This window comes from Homo sapiens, chromosome 3 (assembly GCF_000001405.40).
Source record: "Homo sapiens chromosome 3, GRCh38.p14 Primary Assembly".
Lineage (NCBI taxonomy): Eukaryota > Metazoa > Chordata > Mammalia > Primates > Hominidae > Homo > Homo sapiens.
In genome coordinates this window covers 162,401,788-162,421,398 of record NC_000003.12, presented here as the reverse complement: position 1 = coordinate 162,421,398, position 19,611 = coordinate 162,401,788, and the positions used below count along the sequence as shown (strand labels likewise).

At 36.3% G+C, this 19,611-nt stretch overlaps 2 annotated features.

Annotated features, from left to right (window-relative positions):
• Nucleotides 9,157–9,761: an enhancer, noted in NCBI's record as "NANOG-H3K27ac-H3K4me1 hESC enhancer chr3:162129426-162130030 (GRCh37/hg19 assembly coordinates)". NCBI's record gives its function as "activates a minimal SCP1, AML or CMV promoter by ChIP-STARR-seq in primed H9 embryonic stem cells {active_cell/tissue: H9 hESC(primed)}" and the evidence as "EXISTENCE:reporter gene assay evidence [ECO:0000049][PMID:30033119]".
• Nucleotides 9,762–10,367: an enhancer, noted in NCBI's record as "NANOG-H3K27ac-H3K4me1 hESC enhancer chr3:162128820-162129425 (GRCh37/hg19 assembly coordinates)". NCBI's record gives its function as "activates a minimal SCP1, AML or CMV promoter by ChIP-STARR-seq in primed H9 embryonic stem cells {active_cell/tissue: H9 hESC(primed)}" and the evidence as "EXISTENCE:reporter gene assay evidence [ECO:0000049][PMID:30033119]".

The window sequence follows — 19,611 nt, the reverse complement described above, 5'->3', positions numbered from 1 at the left end:
AGTGTTTTCTGCTATGTTTTTTAAAAAAGTCAGGGATGTCCTTTTTCACTACTTTTATTCAGCATTGCACTGTAGATTATTGTGCAAAATACAAAATAAATTATAAGATAAATGTGAAGGAAACAAAATCAATTACTGTATTGGATTTGTAGAAAATACATATTTGTGTACTTTACACAAGTACATACATACAGACAGACATAAGGAAAGTCACAATAATGAGGAAATCATAAGAAAAACTTGCAATAAATAATTAGAAAATAAAATTTTAAGTATTGCATTTACAATAGCATCAAAGGCATTATCTAAAATATGTCTATAAAAGTTTATGCAAGAATTCTGCAGTTTATTACTGAGAAATATAAATGGTGAACAAAAGTCTAACAATAGCAAGGACAATCTCTCTATATACATATTTTATTTATTTATTTATTTATTGAGATGATGTCTTGCTCTGTCACCCAGCCTGGAGTGCGGTGGTGTGTTCTCACCTCACTGAAACCTCTGCCTCCTGGGTCCAAGCAATTCTCCTGCCTCAGCCTCCCTAGTAGCTGAGATTACAGGTGAGTGCCATCACACCTGGCAATTTTGTTTTTGTATTTTTAGTAGAGATGGGGTTTCACCATGTTGGTCAGGCTGGTCATGAACTCTTGACCTCCTTGGCATCTCAATGTGCAGGAATACAGGCGTGATCCACCAAGCCCAGCCAAGACAATCTTAAGAGCAAAGTTGGAGGATTTACTCTAATGGGTATAAAAATCAGATATTTGATATAATGAAGACAGTGGGATATTTGTGCAAAATGAAACACAAACCAATGATATGGAATAAAAATCAAGTAGTGCATACATATATAGATAGTTATAACAAAATATAGAACTTCACAAAATTATCAAAATACTGGCCTTTTCAGTAACTAATTTTAGGAGAATTATATTTCTCCTATGAGGGAAAGAACGTTGGCTCACACCTAACATGATACATGTTATTTTCAGAGAGGTATAGATTCTAAATGTGGAAGGTAAAATGAAATCTTCTAGGATATATAATACCTTCATTATAATAAAGGAGATAAAAGTGTCTAAAACAGGATATGAATTGTTTAAACAATTAAGGAAATAATTGTTAAATTGAATTTTAAGATTAAGCCTTTTCTCATCAAATTTTATCATTAAGAGAGTTAAAACACAAGCCAGACAGTAGGAGAAGATATTTGCAGTACATTTTTCTAAAGAACAACTTATATCCAGAAAATATAAAAATAAATTCCTAGAAGTCATTACAAAAAAAAACAATTTTAAAAATGGGAAAAATACTACTAAAGGAGCAGTTCACAGAAGATATGCAATAAATATATAAAAGATTTCTAAATTTTATTAGACATCAGGTAAATACAAATGAAAAACAGAATTAAACATCGTTGTACTCTTACAAGAATTGCTAAAATAAAAAGACTTTAAATTTTGAATTCAGATACAATGTAAGTAAGAGTAAATTGGTTTGACCATTTTGAAAACTATTTAGTCATATCAACTAAAGCTGGATATTACATATACTCTATGACCAAACATTTCTCTTGCTCAATGGAAATGTTTACACATGTTTGCTAAAAGACATATACAAAAATATTTCTGGCTGCACAATTCATAATAGCTCAAACTGGTAACAACACAAAGTCAAAGACAGTTGCATGGCTAACTAAATTATATTATGTTCGTGCAATGGAACACTGTAGAGCAAAGAAAAAGAATAAATTTGTTGTATGAACAGTATGGGAAGATCTCACAAACATAATATTGAGAACAAAATAGACACAAAAAAGTACCTGACATAAGATTCCAGTTTTAAAATATTCAAAAATAAGCAAAACTATAGTGTTTTAAATCGATTGTGTTTATCTTCAGAAAGAAAGTTACGGTTATTGATTGTAGGGTGTAGGAGGGGCTTCTGGATTGTTAAAGATCTTTTTCTTCATCTGGATAATGATTATATAGAAGTGCTCAAATTGTGCAAATTCATTCAGCCATAAAGTTATAATTTTCAAATTTTCACATTGCCCTAGGTTTGATATATTTTAACAAATTTTGTTATGTAAGTAGATAATATGTTACTAAAACATGAATCCAATAGCCAAATATCCTTGAATATGTACAAATTTAGGATAGATAATACCTACCAGTGCTTCTTGAAGAAAATTGGTTAACAATAATTATCCAGTCAGTTATGGAGAGGACAAAGGCAAAGAGGTCTCAGGAATGAGATATGTGGAAAAAAAAAACACTGTGAGATTTGGGTTCACTTAAATATGAGAACAGTGATAAAGATTAGAATTAAAGTTAGAAAATATAATTGAATATAATAGATGCTTATAATATACAAATTACACTGTAGTTTTCAAAGATCAGAAGCTGATAAAGAGCATATATAGAAAGAAGTGTGAAATTACTAATATCCTCGCCTTTCAAAGAAAAAAGGCAATAGTTGAAAAGTCATTGTTTATAATGAACCATGGGATTACAAAACACCATTATCATTCAAATCTTCTACTACTTTTCATTAACACTTTCTTTAACTATAGAGAGATTTGTAAAGATACAGGATGAGTGAATTCTAAAAGGAAATTTGGGGTAGTGCAATTTGATGTGCAAAAGAATTCTTGGGGCATAGGTATGAGGAACCAAAGAATAGATTCTTCAGGTGCTTTCATTGATATTTATCTGCTTAAATTACATTGGTGATTATGGATATTTTACTTTTTCAAACACCAAATTGATAAATGGCTCTGCATTTGGTATATGTTTGAAAATAAAACTAATTAGCCTCTTTCTTAACAATGAAAGCAGATATAGATAAGTTATGCTACTTGTTCAAGATCAGAATAGAACACAGATTGAATTAATGTTATAAATTTTATCTCTACAAGTCACCTGAAGCGTTTTTAATTAGGGTATTTATTTGTTTGTTTATTTATTTATTTATTTTTAGATGTAGTCTCCCTCTGTTGCCCAGGCTGGAGTGCAATGGCGCCATCTGGGCTCACTGCAACCTTCGTCTCCCACGTTCAAGCAATTCTCCTGCCTCAGCCCCCCGAGTAGCAGGGACTACAGGCGTGTGCCACCATGCCCGTGTAATTTTTGTACTTTTAGTAGAGACGGGGTTTTACTACGTTGATCAGGCGGGTCTCAAATTCCTGACCTCAGGCGATCCACCAGTCTCGGCCTTACAAAGTGCTGGGGGATTACAGGCATGAGCCACTGCGCCTGGCCTCAATTAGGGTTTTCTATAAACCGAATCTGAGGCAAGAATTCTTGTAAAAGTGATTTGCTCAGGGAGCTGTCATCAGAGAGACAGGGAGAAACAAAAATTGAAAAAGCCAAATAAGGCAGTAAAAGAGAACTAAGCATGGATGTAGTCCCAGTTGAATAGATTAACTTCAACCTGGTCCTCTAGAGAGATCTGAAGCACAAGTTGCACTACAGAGTTGCACCCGCCCCTTTCCCCTGAGGAAAGGATGCCACCCTTTTGTACACCGAGATGGTTAGTTATGGGGCGCTCACTCTCTGGTGGATAGGTGGGATACAACCTTCTGGGGAAGGGGTCTCCCATTTGCTAAGAGGAATTCTCTAGAGAAGGAGGGCATTAGAAGGCAACCCTCACAACAACTAGAGAATGAGTATCCCAATCAGGTAAAGGAGATTGTGGGAGGACACCAAATATTTGCAGTATAGTGGCATTCTAGTTGCAGCTGGAGTCATTACATAAAATGTTGAGTAAAAGTAAATGCTGGAATCACTAGCTTGTACATATCAGTATTCTTAAGTTAAATCAATCCACTATTATCTCCTCCAGCATACTACAATCCTCCCAAAATGCAGAGATAAGAACTATAACAAATGCAAGGTAATTTCATCTGACTTCCATTAATTCATGGCAAAACTTTTTGTCTACTACTTTAGCCTCATGAGAATGTTTCTATTCTTATTGCAAAGAGTGTTCTCCATGTACAAATACTCTGTAAGTTCTCTACTACTTTCCACCTTTTTTTTTGGAGAAAGTGGTACTGTCCTCTTAGTTCTCATCCACCCTTGTGTCTTCTCATTTGTCTCCACAATGACTTTTCTCTGTTAGATCTTCAGTATTCCTTTTGTTTTTTACTCCTTTTGGTATTTATTTATTTATTTATGTTTATAAATGTGTTCAAACTCTCCTAATTCAGCTATAATTTTCTTTAAATGTACTCTCTTATTTTATTGCCAATCCTTTAGGAATAATCTGCATTTCTGTTTCTTCAGTTTCTTCATTCTACTTTATACCCTTAACCCCACAACTATTGAAATCTATATATTTTTAAAAACATCCATTATCCCAAAAATTTGAAACCAGTTGCCTTGTTCATCCTTTTCCAAAGTTTTTTATAGTTTCACCATATGCTCTTTGTAAAAATCTTCTGTTTTTCCAGATCCTAGAACATTGTAATACCCGAGAGCTTTACTTCTTTGGTTTATTTATGTGCTTATGTTTTTCTCATACCTCAAAAGACTGTGTTTTGTTTTCTTATCTTCTCTCTATATATGTTCTTCCTTTCATTTGTTCATTATTGCATTCATTGCATTTATTTGTCACTATAGTCATCTTATTTTCCTAAGCACTTATGTAGCATTTCAAAGATTCTTTGGTAAACTTTTATCTGGAAAACTCAGTAAAGCTTCAAACAATTCTAAAATATTTTAATCTCTGTGTGCAAATGTGGGATTTCTTCTCTTTATCTTTATCTTTCTCTTCTTCATTTTCCTTGTCACACAAGGTAACCTAAGAGACATATTTGGGAGATACTTAAATCATTCATCTCTTTACCATTTAAATTTAGCTTCATCCTGAAATATATTATGTCTATTTAAATCATGCTTATTTAGTACTTGTGAATGTTATCTGAATTTTTATTATAACAATAATAATATCTTTTAAAATCACTATTATTTTCACAGTAATGATGCAAAAAATATTGATAACCAGAAAAATGAAAAGACATTTTCTGACTGATTTCTTACATTGACTTATTTCTAAAGTTGGTGATTGTACTTAAAAGTTAAAATTAGCACTCAGAAATGTTTCATAATTGTCCTTTAACTACAGACTAGATTGCAGATGATTAACTGTATGCAATTTATACATAAAATGTCTCATACTTTCAGTGAATGTTCATCTCTCAAAAATAAACTTAATAGTTATTTTGTAATAGTAAAATTAGAAAAATATATATTTCAAATTAATGTTACAGTTAACAAAATAGTAAGAAGTTTGTATGGGATAATTGTAATACTCACAATTCTTGTAATTATTTTAATTCTCTTAATACTTGTAATTCTTAAGGAATATGTATCTGTCCTGGGGAAAACATTTTGTGTATTACTTTTTTAGAAACCTTATAGGTAATCATGAATACAAATTTCTGACTCTGCTACTCTAGAAAATACATTCTAAGATATTAAATTTGCATCTGATTTAATGTCAACAACTGCATTCTTTCTAATCCTCCAAGAAAGACAATATTTAAATATATCCTTTCAGTTCATCAACCAAAATTTAGTGGGTGATAAGATATAATTAACATTAATATTCATTACAATTCATATTTTATTTTTAAAATTTCTAATATGATTGCATCAGTAAATACATTCAAAATTATTTCACTTTATTAAGCCAAAATAGGTAACACAAAATAAATTTTTATTTCCCTAAAACATTTTATAGTTAATAAGTTTTTAAATATGAAGTAATATTTCACTATTCTCAGCTTTATTTGTGTAAGTATAAATTTAAAAGTCTGTAATAGTATAATATATTAAAGCTTATAAGCTTGTATAATAATAAGCTTTGTATTATAATAAAGCTTTAATACAATAATTTAAAATGTATTTGTTACTTTCAGATTCCTGAACACATGAAACATCTGAAAAGTTTCTTTATCTTGTATCTTTTAGGAAAATTAGAGATAAAACTTTCTGTAATAATCTTAAAGTATCAAATAGAGATAATAGTATCCCCCAAACAAAAATATTCGATAGAATGTATCTTTGTTCAATTCATGAAAAAATTTGGAAGTGGAAACCAGTTGGGGGGAGGCAATTTTTGTTTGGAAAATATATAATTTTCTCTCTTTTTCTTAGAAGCTAAGGTTTGTTCCCATTTTATTTATAAAAAAATATGAACACATCTTATTATAGCACTGGGGTTATGTTCACCACTAATTGACTTAAAGAATAATTATTGGCAGGGCATGATGGCTCATGCCTGTAATCCCAGTGCTTTGAGATGCCAAGGTGAGAGGATCGCTTGACTCCAGGAGTTTGAGACCAGCCTGGGCAGCATAGCGAGACCCCAACTTTACACAAAAGTTTTCAAAAGATTAGCCAAGCATAGTGGCACATGTCTGTAGTCCTAGCTACTCAGGTGGCTGAGGTGGGATAATTGCTTGAGCCCAGGAGTTGAGGGCTGCAGTGAGCTATGATCACACCACTGCACTCCAGCCTGGTTGACAGAATAAGACCTCATCTCTTTAAAATAAATTAAAATTAAAAAAAATAATTATTCTATGTTGATAAAGTAAACTTTTTCTCTGCACTGTCATCTCATCAAAGTTGAAAAATTACTCAAATACTGTCCTAAGAGGTTTAAATATGTCCAAGTCAATTGTACTCAAGAGAGTTTGAGGCCGCATCCTTCTACTTTAGTCCCCTGTCTTCAAAATGCAAGGTCTTTTATCCCTCTTTTTCCATTCCTGACTTTCCAGTCCAAGTCAACCCTTTGTTAATATTAACATCTATTCCATTAGGCCAAATAGCATTTGTTTAACAAGTACTCCATAGTGACACATAGATGAATGTCGATGTGTGCATGGAAAAACTTGCATTCAATCCCTCATGTATTTTATGTTATGAAATTTTTCAAATAATTGGTAAGTTCCTTGCCTAGAGGGAACTAAAAGTATCAAGACATTTGGATGCATATTGATACTGATTGAGACATAAAATGTTAGTTATTAACCATAGTCATGTCTAATTTTATTCTGCTCCATTACAACTACTAGTAGAATATCGATAGTTTTTCAAGTTCTTGTATTCTTATATTGAATTCAAGGAAACTTTCATAATAAGTAATTCTTGCTATTTTTTCTTTTCATTTCTTTTTCTTTCTTTCTCTTTTTTTTTCTTTCTTTCTGAGACAAAGTCTTGCTCGCTTGCCCAGGCTGGAGTGCAGTGGCGTGATTTCTTTCTTTTTCCTTTTTTTTTATTATTTTGGTCTCCCCCCCCCGCCTTTTGTGGAGAACGGAGTCTTGCTATATGGCCCAGGCAGGTCTCGAACTCCTGGCCTTAAGCTATCCTCCCGCCTCTGCCTCCCTGAGAGCTAGGATTACAGGAGTGAGCCACTGCGCCTGGCCTGAAGTGGTGTGATTTCTAATGGTACATTGTTAGGTGCATAGTCATTAATAATTGTTATGTCTTTGAGAGCACTAACCCCTCTTTATTCCTGATAAGTTTCAGTCCTCTGAAGTCATTTTGTTTTCTAAATTAATATAACTATTCTAGTTGTGTTTTGATTTGCCTTAGCATGGTATATTGACCCTTTACGTCTAACCAATCTGAGTCTATTCTTAAAGTGGATTTCTTGCAGATAACATATAATTGGGCCTTTGGGATTTTTTTTTTATTTGTTTGTTTGTTTGTTTGTTTTTAAATCCAGTCTAACAGTCTCTGTCCTTTACTTGGTACAATTTGATCATTCATATTTACATATTTAAAGTAATTAGTGATATAGTTGCTTTATTATCATGCTTGTAACTGTTTTCTATTTATCGTACTCTGTTTTTTCTTCTGTTTTTCTGAATTCACTAATTTTAATTAAGAATTTTATGATTCTATTTTATCCTCTCTCATAACATATTAACTATACATATCTTAAAACATATGAAGGTTGAGCTAGAGTTTGTAACAATGCCTTTTTAACTACTCAAGTCTACCTCAATAATACTGTATCACTTCATGAGTACACAGTACAGGTATCTTATAACTGAGTATTCTCAATTTCTGTCTTCCCTCTCGTGACATTGCTGTCATTGATTTCACTTATTAATGTGCTATAATCACCCAATATATTATTATTATTATCTTAAGCAGTTCTCTTTTATATTATGAATAAAAATAATGAAAGATTTAATTTTACCTTCATCTGTTCCTTCTCCAAAACTCTTTCTTTTTAAATTTATATCCAAGTTTCTGATCTATATCACTTTCTTTCCTCCTGAGGAACTTCTTTTAACATTTACTGCAAGGCAATAATGTCTGCTGGTGATGATTTCCCTCAGTTCTTGTTTGTCTAACAAAGTCTTTATTTCTCCTTCACTTTTGAAAGGTAATTTTGCTGGATTCAAGGATACTAGATTTTTTTTTCTTTCATCACTTTCTGTGTTCCATTCCACTCTTCTTGCCTGCCTAGTTTATGAGAAGTCTGATACAATTGTATCTTTGTTCCACTATGGGTAAGGTATATTTATTTCCTAGCTCCTTTGAAGATATTTCTCTTTGTATTTGGTTTTCTTCAGTTTGAATATAATATGTCTAGGTGTAATTTTTTATTATTCTGGTAAATGTTCTCTGAGCTTCTTGTAGGTTTATTTTTGTTTCTTTTGTTTTGTTTGTCCTTGGTTTTGTTTTTGGTTTTTGGTATCTGTCAATTTTGGAATGTTCTCCGCCATTATTACTTCAAATAATTATTTTATTCTGTTCTTTATTTCTCTTCTCTTTTGCCAATTAAGATATGTTACTTTTTATAATTACCCCACAGATCATCAATACTATGTTCTGTTTTAATGTTCTTATTACTTTTTTGTCTTGCATTTACATTTTGGAAATTTCTGTTAACATATCTTTGAGCTCACTGATTCTTTTCTGGGCTGTACTAGTCTTTTGATGATCCCATCAGTGATATCCTTTATTTCTGCTACAGTGTTTTGACTTCTGGCACTGCATTTTGACTCTTTCTTAGAGTTTCCATCTCTCTGCTTACATAAACCATTTGTTTTTAAATATTCTTTCTCACTCTAACACCAGTTAATTTAGCCTCCAGGAACTTGTCAAAATTACCACTCATGTATTTCTGAATCCAGCAACTTCGTCTCCAGGTCAGTAGATCTACAATGTGTTTATCTAGATTTATCTGTCCTCTCATACTTCAGGGTGCTAGATTGCTCTGCAAACTCAGCTCTGTTGAGTTCAAAAATAGCTGTTGATTTTAGTTTTTCTTTTTTAACCTTTTTTCTTGCTGTAAGGAATGGAGTAATGACTTCAAAGCTCATTACATGTTGGAGCTTATAATTGTTTTCAGATGACATGCTTAAAACCGTAAGAAATTTAAATGTCTTAGAACTGATAAAACAGTTTAATAATATCAGATTGCAAAACAAAAAATGTAAACAAAGTAGCTTATTAGTTAAGAAGTGTTTGCATTCGGGGGAGGAGCCAAGATGGCCGAATAGGAACAGCTCCGGTCTACAGCTCCCAGCGTGAGCGACCAAGACGGGTGATTTCTGCATTTCCATCTGAGGTACCGGGTGCATCTCAGTAGGGAGTGCCAGACAGTGGGCACCGGCCAGTGGGTGCGCGCACCATGCGCGAGCCGAAGCAGGGCGAGGCATTGCCTCACCTGGGAAGTGCAAGGGGTCAGGGAGTTCCCTTTCCGAGTCAAAGAAAGGGGTGACGGACACACCTGGAAAATCGGGTCACTCCCACCCGAATATTGCGCTTTTCAGACCGGCTTAAAAAACGGCGCACCACGAGACTATATCCCACACCTGGCTTGAAGGGTCCTACGCCCACGGAATCTCGCTGATTGCTAACACAGCAGTCTGAGATCAAACTGCAAGGCGGCAGCAAGGCTGGGGGAGGGGCGCCTGCCATTGCCCAGGCTTGCTTAGGTAAACAAAGCAGCAGGGAAGCTCCAACTGGGTGGAGCCCACCACAGCTCAAGGAGGCCTGCCTGCCTCTGTAGGCTCCACCTCTGGGGGCAGGGCACAGACAAACAAAAAGACAGCAGTAACCTCTGCAGACTTAAATGTCCCTGTCTGACAGCTTTGAAGAGAGCAGTGGTTCTCCCAGCACGCAGCTGGAGATCTGAGAACCGGCAGACTGCCTCCTCAAGTGGGTCCCTGACCCCTGACCCCCGAGCAGCCTAACTGGGAGGCACCCTCCAGCAGGGGCACACTGACACCTCACACAGCAGGGTATTCCAATAGACCTGCAGCTGAGGGTCCTGTCTGTTAGAAGGAAAACTAACAAACAGAAAGGACATCCACACCGAAAACCCATCTGTACATCACCATCATCAAAGACCAAAACTAGATAAAATCACAAAGATGGGGAAAAAACAGAACAGAAAAACTGGAAACTCTAAAATGCAGAGCGTCTCTCCTCCTCCAAAGGAACGCAGTTCCTCACCAGCAACAGAACAAAGCTGGATGGAGAATGACTTTGACGAGCTGAGAGAAGAAGGCTTCAGACGATCAAATTACTCTGAGCTACGGGAGGACATTCAAACCAAAGGCAAAGAAGTTGAAAACTTTGAAAAAAATTTAGAAGAATGTATAACTAGAATAACCAATACAGAGAAGTGCTTAAAGGAGCTGATGGAACTGAAAACCAAGGCTCGAGAACTACGTGAAGAATGCAGAAGCCTCAGGAGCCGATGCGATCAACTGGAAGAAAGGGTATCAGCAATGGAAGATGAAATGAATGAAAATGAAGCAAGAAGGGAAGTTTAGAGAAAAAAGAATAAAAAGAAATGAGCAAAGCCTCCAAGAAATATGGGACTATGTGAAAAGACCAAATCTACATCTGATTGGTGTACCTGAAAGTGATGGGGAGAATGGAACCAAGTTGGAAAACACTCTGCAGGGTATTATCCAGGAGAACTTCCCCAATCTAGCAAGGCAGGCCAACGTTCAGATTCAGGAAATACAGAGAACGCCACAAAGATACTCCTCGAGAAGAGCAACTCCAAGACACATAATTGTCAGATTCACCAAAGTTGAAATGAAGGAAAAAATGTTAAGGGCAGCCAGAGAGAAAGGTCGGGTTACCCTCAAAGGGAAGCCCATCAGACTAACAGTGGATCACTCGGCAGAAACCCTACAAGCCAGAAGAGAGTGGGGGCCAATATTCAACATTCTTAAAGAAAAGAATTTTCAACCCAGAATTTCATATCCAGCCAAACTAAGCTTCATAAGTGAAGGAGAAATAAAATACTTTACAGACAAGCAAATGCTGACCGATTTTGTCACCACTAGGCCTGCCCTAAAAGAGCTCCTGAAGGAAGTGCTAAACATGGAAAGGAACAACCAGTACCAGCCGCTGCAAAATCATGCCAAAATGTAAAGACCATCAAGACTAGGAAGAAACTGCATCAACTAACGAGCAAAATCACCAGCTAACATCATAATGACAGGATCAAATTCACACATAACAATATTAACTTTAAATATAAATGGACTAAATTCTCCAATTAAAAGACACAGACTGGCAAATTGGATAAAGAGTCAAGATCCATCAGTGTGCTGTATTCAGGAAACCCATCTCACGTGCAGAGACACACATAGGCTCAAAATAAAAGGATGGAGGAAGATCTACCAAGCAAATGGAAAACAAAAAAAGGCAGGGGTTGCAATCCTAGTCTCTGATAAAACAGACTTGAAACCAACAAAGATCAAAAGAGACAAAGAAGGCCATTACATAATGGTAAAGGGATCAATTCAACAAGAAGAGCTAACTATCCTAAATATATATACACCCAATATGGGAGCACCCAGATTCATAAAGCAAGTCCTGAGTGACCTGCAAAGAGACTTAGACTCCCACACATTAATAATGGGAGACTTTAACACCCCACTGTCAACATTAGATGGATCAACGAGACAGAAAGTCAACAAGGATACCCAGGAATTGAACTCAGCTCTGCACCAAGCAGACCTAATAGACATCTACAGAACTCTCCACCCCAAATCAACAGAATATACATTTTTTTCAGCACCACACCACACCTATTCCAAAATTGACCACATACTTGGAAGTAAAGCTCTCCTCAGCAAATGTAAAAGAACAGAAATTATAACAAACTATCTCTCAGACCACAATGCAATCAAACTAGAACTCAGGATTAAGAATCCCACTCAAAGCTGCACAACTACATGGAAACTGAACAACCTGCTCCTGAATGACTACTGGGTACATAATGAAATGAAGGCAGAAATAAAGATGTTCTTTGAAACCAACGAGAACAAAGACACAACATACCAGAATCTCTGGGACACATTCAAAGCAGTGTGTAGAGGGAAATTTATAGCACTAAATGCCCACAAGAGAAAGCAGGAAAGATCCAAAATTGACACCCTAACATCACAATTAAAAGAACTAGAAAAGCAAGAGCAAACACATTCAAAAGCTAGCAGAAGGCAAGAAATAACTAAAATCAGAGCAGAACTGAAGGAAATAGAGACACAAAAAACCCTTCAAAAATTCAATGAATCCAGGAGCTGGTTTTTTGAAAGGATCAAAAAAATTGATAGACCGCTAGCAAGACTAATAAAGAAAAAAAGAGAGAAGAATCAAATAGACACAATAAAAAATTATAAAGGGGATATCACCACCGATCCCACAGAAATACAGACTACCATCAGAGAATACTACAAGCACCTCTACACAAATAAACTAGAAAATCTAGAAGAAATGGATAAATTCCTCAACACATACACTCTCCCAAGACTAAACCAGGAAGAAGTTGAATCTCTGAATAGACCAATAACAGGAGCTGAAATTGTGGCAATAATCAATAGTTTACCAACCAAAAAGAGTCCAGGACCAGATGGATTCACAGCCGAATTCTACCAGAGGTACAAGGAGGAACTGGTGCCATTCCTTCTGTAACTATTCCAATCAATAGAAAAAGAGGGAATCCTCCCTAACTCATTTTATGAGGCCAGCATCATTCTGATACCAAAGCCGGGCAGAGACACAACCAAAAAAGAGAATTTTAGACCAATATCCTTGATGAACATTGATGCAAAAATCCTCAATAAAATACTGGCAAACCGAATCCAGCAGCACATCAAAAAGCTTATCCACCATGATCAAGTGGGCTTCATCCCTGGGATGCAAGGCTGGTTCAAATATGCGCAAATCAATAAATGTAATCCAGCATATAAACAGAACCAAAGACAAAAACCACATGATTATCTCAATAGATGCAGAAAAAGCCTTTGACAAAATTCAACAACCCTTCATGCTAAAAACTCTCAATAAATTAGGTATTGATGGGACGTATTTCAAAATAATAAGAGCTATCTATGACAAACCCACAGGCAATATCATACTGAATGGGCAAAAACTGGAAGCATTCCCTTTGAAAACTGGCACAAGACAGGGATGCCCTCTCTCACCACTCCTATTCAACATAGTGTTGGAAGTTCTGGCCAGGGCAATTAGGCAGGAGAAGGAAATAAAGGGTATTCAATTAGGAAAAGAGGAAGTCAAATTGTCCCTGTTTGCAGACGACATGATTATATATCTAGAAAACCCCATTGTCTCAGCCCAAAATCTCCTTAAGCTGATAAGCAACTTCAGCAAAGTCTCAGGATACAAAATCAATGTACAAAAATCACAAGCATTCTTATACACCAACAACAGACAAACAGAGAGCCAAATCATGAGTGAACTCCCATTCACAATTGCTTCAAAGAGAATAAAATACCTAGGAATCCAACTTACAAGGGATGTGAAGCACCTCTTCAGGGAGAACTACAAACCACTGCTCAAGGAAATAAAAGAGGATACAAACAAATGGAAGAACATTCCATGCTCATGGGTAGGAAGAATCAATATCGTGAAAATGGCCATACTGCCCAAGGTGATTTACAGATTCAATGCCATCCCATCAAGCTACCAATGACTTTCTTCACAGAATTGGAAAAAACTACTTTAAAGTTCATATGGAACCAAAAAAGAGCCCGCATTGCCAAGTCAATCCTAAGCCAAAAGAACAAAGCTGGAGGAATCACACTACCTGACTTCAAACTATACTACAAGGCTACAGTAACCAAAACAGCATGGTACTGGTACCAAAACAGAGATATAGATCAATGGAACAGAACAGAGCCCTCAGAAATAATGCCGCATACCTACAACTATCTGATCTTTGACAAACCTGAGAAAAACAAGCAATGGGGAAAGGATTCCCTATTTAATAAATGGTGCTGGGAAAACTGGCTAGCCATATGTAGGAAGCTGAAACTGGATCCCTTCCTTACACCTTATACAAAAATCAATTCAAGATGGATTAAAGGCTTAAACGTTAGACCTAAAACCTTAAAAACCCTAGAAGAAAACCTAGGCATTACCATTCAGGACATAGGCATGGGCAAGGACTTCATGTCCAAAACACCAAAAGCAATGGCAACAAAAGCCAAAATTGACAAATGGGATCTAATTAAACTAAAGAGCTTCTGCACAGCAAAACAAACTACCATCAGAGTGAACAGGCAACCTACAAAATGGGAGAAGATTTTCGCAACCTACTCATCTGACAAAGGGCTAATATCCAGAATCTACAGTGAACTCAAACAAATTACAAGAAAAAAACAAACAACCCCATCAAAAAGTGGGCGAAGGACATGAACAGACACTTCTCAAAAGAAGACATTTATGGAGCCAAAAAACACATGAAAAAATGCTCATCATCACTGGCCATGAGAGAAATGCAAATCAAAACCATTATGAGATACCATCTCATACCAGTTAGAATGGCAATCATTAAAAAGTCAGGAAACAACAGGTGCTGGAGAGGATGTGGAGAAATAGGAACACTTTTACACTGTTGGTGGGACTGTAAACTAGTTCAACCATTGTGGAAGTCAGTGTGGCGATTCCTCAGGGATCTAGAACTAGAATTACCATTTGACCCAGCCATCCCATTAGTGGGTATATACCCAAATGACTATGAATCATGCTGCTCTAAAGACACATGCACACGTATGTTTATTGCGGCATTATTCACAATAGCAAAGACTTGGAACCAACCCAAATGTCCAACAATGATAGACTGGATTAAGAAAATGTGGCACATATACACCATGGAATACTATGCAGCCATAGAAAATGATGAGTTCATGTCCTTTGTAGGGACATGGATGAAATTGGAAATCATCATTCTCAGTAAACTATCGCAAGATCAAAAAACCAAACACCGCATATTCTCACTCTTAGGTGGGAACTGAACAATGAGATCACATGGACACAGGAAGGGGAATATCACACTCTGGGGACTGTGGTGCGGTGGTGGGAGGGGGGAGGGATAGCATTGGGAGATATACCTAATGCTAGATGACGAGTTAGTGGGTGCAGCGCACCAGCATGGCACATGTATACATATGTAACTAACCTGCACTATGTGCACATGTACCCTAAAACTTAAAGTATAATAAAAAACAAAACAAAACAAAAAAAAGGCATACCAAATAAATAAATAAATAAATAAATAAATAAAATAAATAAAATAAAGAAGTGTTTGGATTCAAAAATAGAAAAATCCTTGATTCTAACTAGCATAAAGATAGGGAAACTTAGTATTTCATACGACAAGAAATTCATAGGTAGAAGGTCCCTTGAGTTTAATACAGTTCACAGTCTGGCTCTATTTCCCAGTGAGTCCCTTGATCAACCTTACTCTAGGTTAAATGTTTCATCCTTGGGTTGATAACAAGATGGTGGCAGAAGTTTCCAAAAATTGTACCATATAAAGCAATAATCTTAAAAAGAAGCATGCAGTTGTCTTTTTTGATGACATTTATCTTGCCTAAGTTTAGAGGGTTAAAGAACTGTTTTAAGTAAGATGGGAAAATCCAAAGGTTTGAACAAGTTATAGGTTTATGAAAATTAATTGTAGAAGAGATTCTGCCTGTGAACATATTGGATAAAGTTAAAATGGAAAGCATGGCCTTACCAAACTATAAGGATGCTAGAAGTCAAGGCCTTCATCCAAGGACAAGAAAGAAAGCTCTGGTGGGTCATCAGTGGTGGAGAGAACCATTCCAAAGTGGTGCTGTCACCCATCTAAGGTCAAAGATGTCTGAGAAGATGGGGCCCAGGATGCCCCTAGAGACCGCAGACAAGACCCAGAGTTTTTCCAGAGGGATGCCCCAGGTAAAATTTGGGTAATCTAATAAGCCCTCCATTTTTCAAAGTCCTCTTCTTCCAGACTATTATGGGCAACCATCCATTCCACTTTATTCCCTATGTGGCTTCATCCTGAACCACTGGAATCAATTTGACCCTGACAATATAAGGAAAAAAAATTTGATGTTTTACTGCATATACCGTATGGCCCCAATATCAGTTGAACAGTCACAAGCAATGGGTGGTCAATGGTAGCCTTAATTATAACACCATCCCGCAATTAGACCTATTTTCCAAAAGGCAGGATAAATGATCAGAAATCCCATGTATACAGGCCTTCATTACCCTATTCCAAAACCCAACAATCTGCAAAACTCCCAGAAATGAAAGTCCCCCAAATGAAAGTCCTAAGTCAGAACTAGATGTTGTAGATGACCTCACTTTACAAGAGCTGTGTGTCTCTCAGGGGGAACAGCAACCACCCTCACATAACCCTTTGCCAAGTGTTCCTGAGGCTCAAACCCAAGAGCAAAAACCAAGAAGCCTGCAAAGTTCTTCTCACATTCAGAGGGAAACACCCTATTTAAGTACCCCTTTAGCCCTGCTATCCCTTAGGAAAGTAGCAGGAGCTGAGAGGCCAGTCTGAGTGCAGGCCCTCTTCTCTATAACTGACATACAACAGTGTAAAGAAAAGCTAGTAAGGTATGCTGAGAACCCCAGGAAATTTGTAGATGAGTTCTAAACTTTGACCTTAGCCTTTAATCTCTCATCAAGAGATGTTCAATTCATTCTAGCAACCTGTGGCACCCCCCTTCCCTTGGAAAAGGAATGAAACTTTGAGGTGATTTGCTGGGAAGCAGATGACTTATTTGTCCAAAACCCTCAGGGCAATCATATAGGCCCAGACGCAGTTCCTGCTACTGATCCTAATTGGGACTCTGACACCCCCATGGGAATGAACAACTAACTGGGCTTAATTTTTTGAGACTCTCCTTGGAGGAATGAAAAAGGGAATAACTAAGGCAGTAAATTGTGATAAAGTAAGGAGGTTACACAAGGCAAGAAGGAAAATACAACCATGTTTTATGGCAGGTTGGAGGAAGCATTTAAAAAAGGTACCAATCTGGGCCAGGCAGGTGGCTCACACCTGTAATCCCAGCACTTTGGGAGGCCAAGGCACTCCTCTTGAGGTTAGGAGTTGGAGACCAGCCTGGCCAACATGATGAAACCCTGTGTCTCCTAAAAACACAGAAATTAGCTGGGCACGGTGGCAGGCTCCTGTAATCCCAGCGTCTTGGGGGGCTGAGACTGGATAATCGCTTGAACCTTGGAGGCAGAGGTTGCAGTGAGTTGAGATGAAACCACTGCACTCCATCCTGGGTGACAGAGCAAGACTCCATCTCGAATACACACACACACACACACACACACACAACCTGGACCCTTCCTCTTCCAAAGGCAAAATATTAATGGCACAGCATTTTATTAGCCAATCCACCATAGACATTAGACATCAGCACCAAAAGCTACAGATGGGCAGTAAATTATAATACTTCAAGAGCAGCTTCTTGATACCACCTTATGGTGTATAACAATTGTGACCTGGAGGGAGAAAAAAGGAAACAGAATAAAGAAAACTGGCAAGCCAAAATTATGTCAGCCATCATTGCTGATGTCCTGAATGCCCAAAGAGCATTCAAGGGAAACTCAGAGGGCCATAATGATAATGCTAGCAAAGGCTCTTGGTTCAATTGCAAGAAAATTGGGCGCTGGGCAAAGGACTATACTAAATCTCCACCAGGTCCCTGCCATCAATGCGAAGGCAGCAGTCACAACCCCTTACGCTGGAGAATTGAGTGTCCCCACTCCCACTGAGGGGTTCAGTCAGTCCAAATTCTAGAAGTACAAAAGAAGAAATTAGATGAAGTCTGAAGAGACCTGGGGCCTTCCTCACCACCCCTGTCCAGGAACATCATCATTACTATTGAGGAGTCCTAGATAACTCTGGACATCCTGGGCACCCAAATTCCATTTCTTTTTAATACAGGGGAAAATTACTCTGTTCTTACTGCTTTTATAGGAAAGCATTCCTCTGAGTCCATGAGCATTATGGGAATGGAAGAAAAAAACTGAAAAAAGACTGTGAAGATTCATCACATATAGAATTCAGATTATTATCTGAATTATCTGAGAGACCTCCAAGAAAAATAATAAACTACATTTTTCTCCAAAGAAATCAAAATATTATGTAAATAAAAACTCTGATAAGAAAGCACTTCAGAATCTGAACTTTAGAAAATCCAACTATCAAAAACAGAAGAAAAACCTCAGGAAGAGGAATTTGATGAATACCTTCAATATTTGTTTCTGTGAAATGGGAGAGAGAAGACTACTTTCTATAATGTGAAAGTATACTTTAAAACTATTCATTTTTATCTTACACACACACACACACACAGACACACACACTGCATATATTCTACTGGTTCCATTTCTCTGGAAAACCCTAACACACAAATGAATTAGATAATAGTATTTCCAGCCTAACAGCTAATTCTCTGAAGTTCTTCATAGAACTTGTAAATTATGTGTTTATATTGCTGTCAATCATAGATATACCCTTTAAAAGGCATAATAAAGTGATAAGCAAATTATATTAAAAGGCAATTCTGAACAAGAGTAACACTTAAGAATAGTATTTTGTGCTCTGTCTTACTAAAAATATTAAAATTATACTATTTTTATGCTATCAAATTGTTAAAGCTTAAAATAAATGTTAAGTATAACAACGTGATAAAATGAAAATTCTTGCAGACTGTGGATGAAATACAAAGAAGCCTACAGTTTTTAGGGACATTATATCCATGCCTTAATTTAGCCATTTTAAATGTAGAAATTGATCCTGAGGATCTAAACAACAATTTGCACAATTTTAAAAAAAACTTTGGTATGCAATTTGCACAATGCTTTCTATGCTTTGCACAAAGTTAAATATAATGATATATATCTATTTTTATTAAAACTACATATTTCAAAAATAATGTATTAGCACAGAAATAGGGTTACAAGATATAACATATTTAAATTAAAGAATATAGAAACCTAAATGTAGTATGACCTGAGACTTATAGAGATAGATAAATGAGACAGAAGCAGAACAAAGAAATTTAACAAAATAAGTAATAGGAAGATATGCACCAAAATATAAAACATCAGTAACTAAGTACAGTAAAATGCAGTAATTTAGTTTGTATTTGGTATTTCTACCTTAATTTACACATTAAAAATGCTATTTTTCATTATTCATTTGCTCTCTTTCCTACATTTTGTTATGTGAAATTTTGACACTGATTATACTTTACATGTCCAAATCCTCATCTTCAACATGTTAAACCTC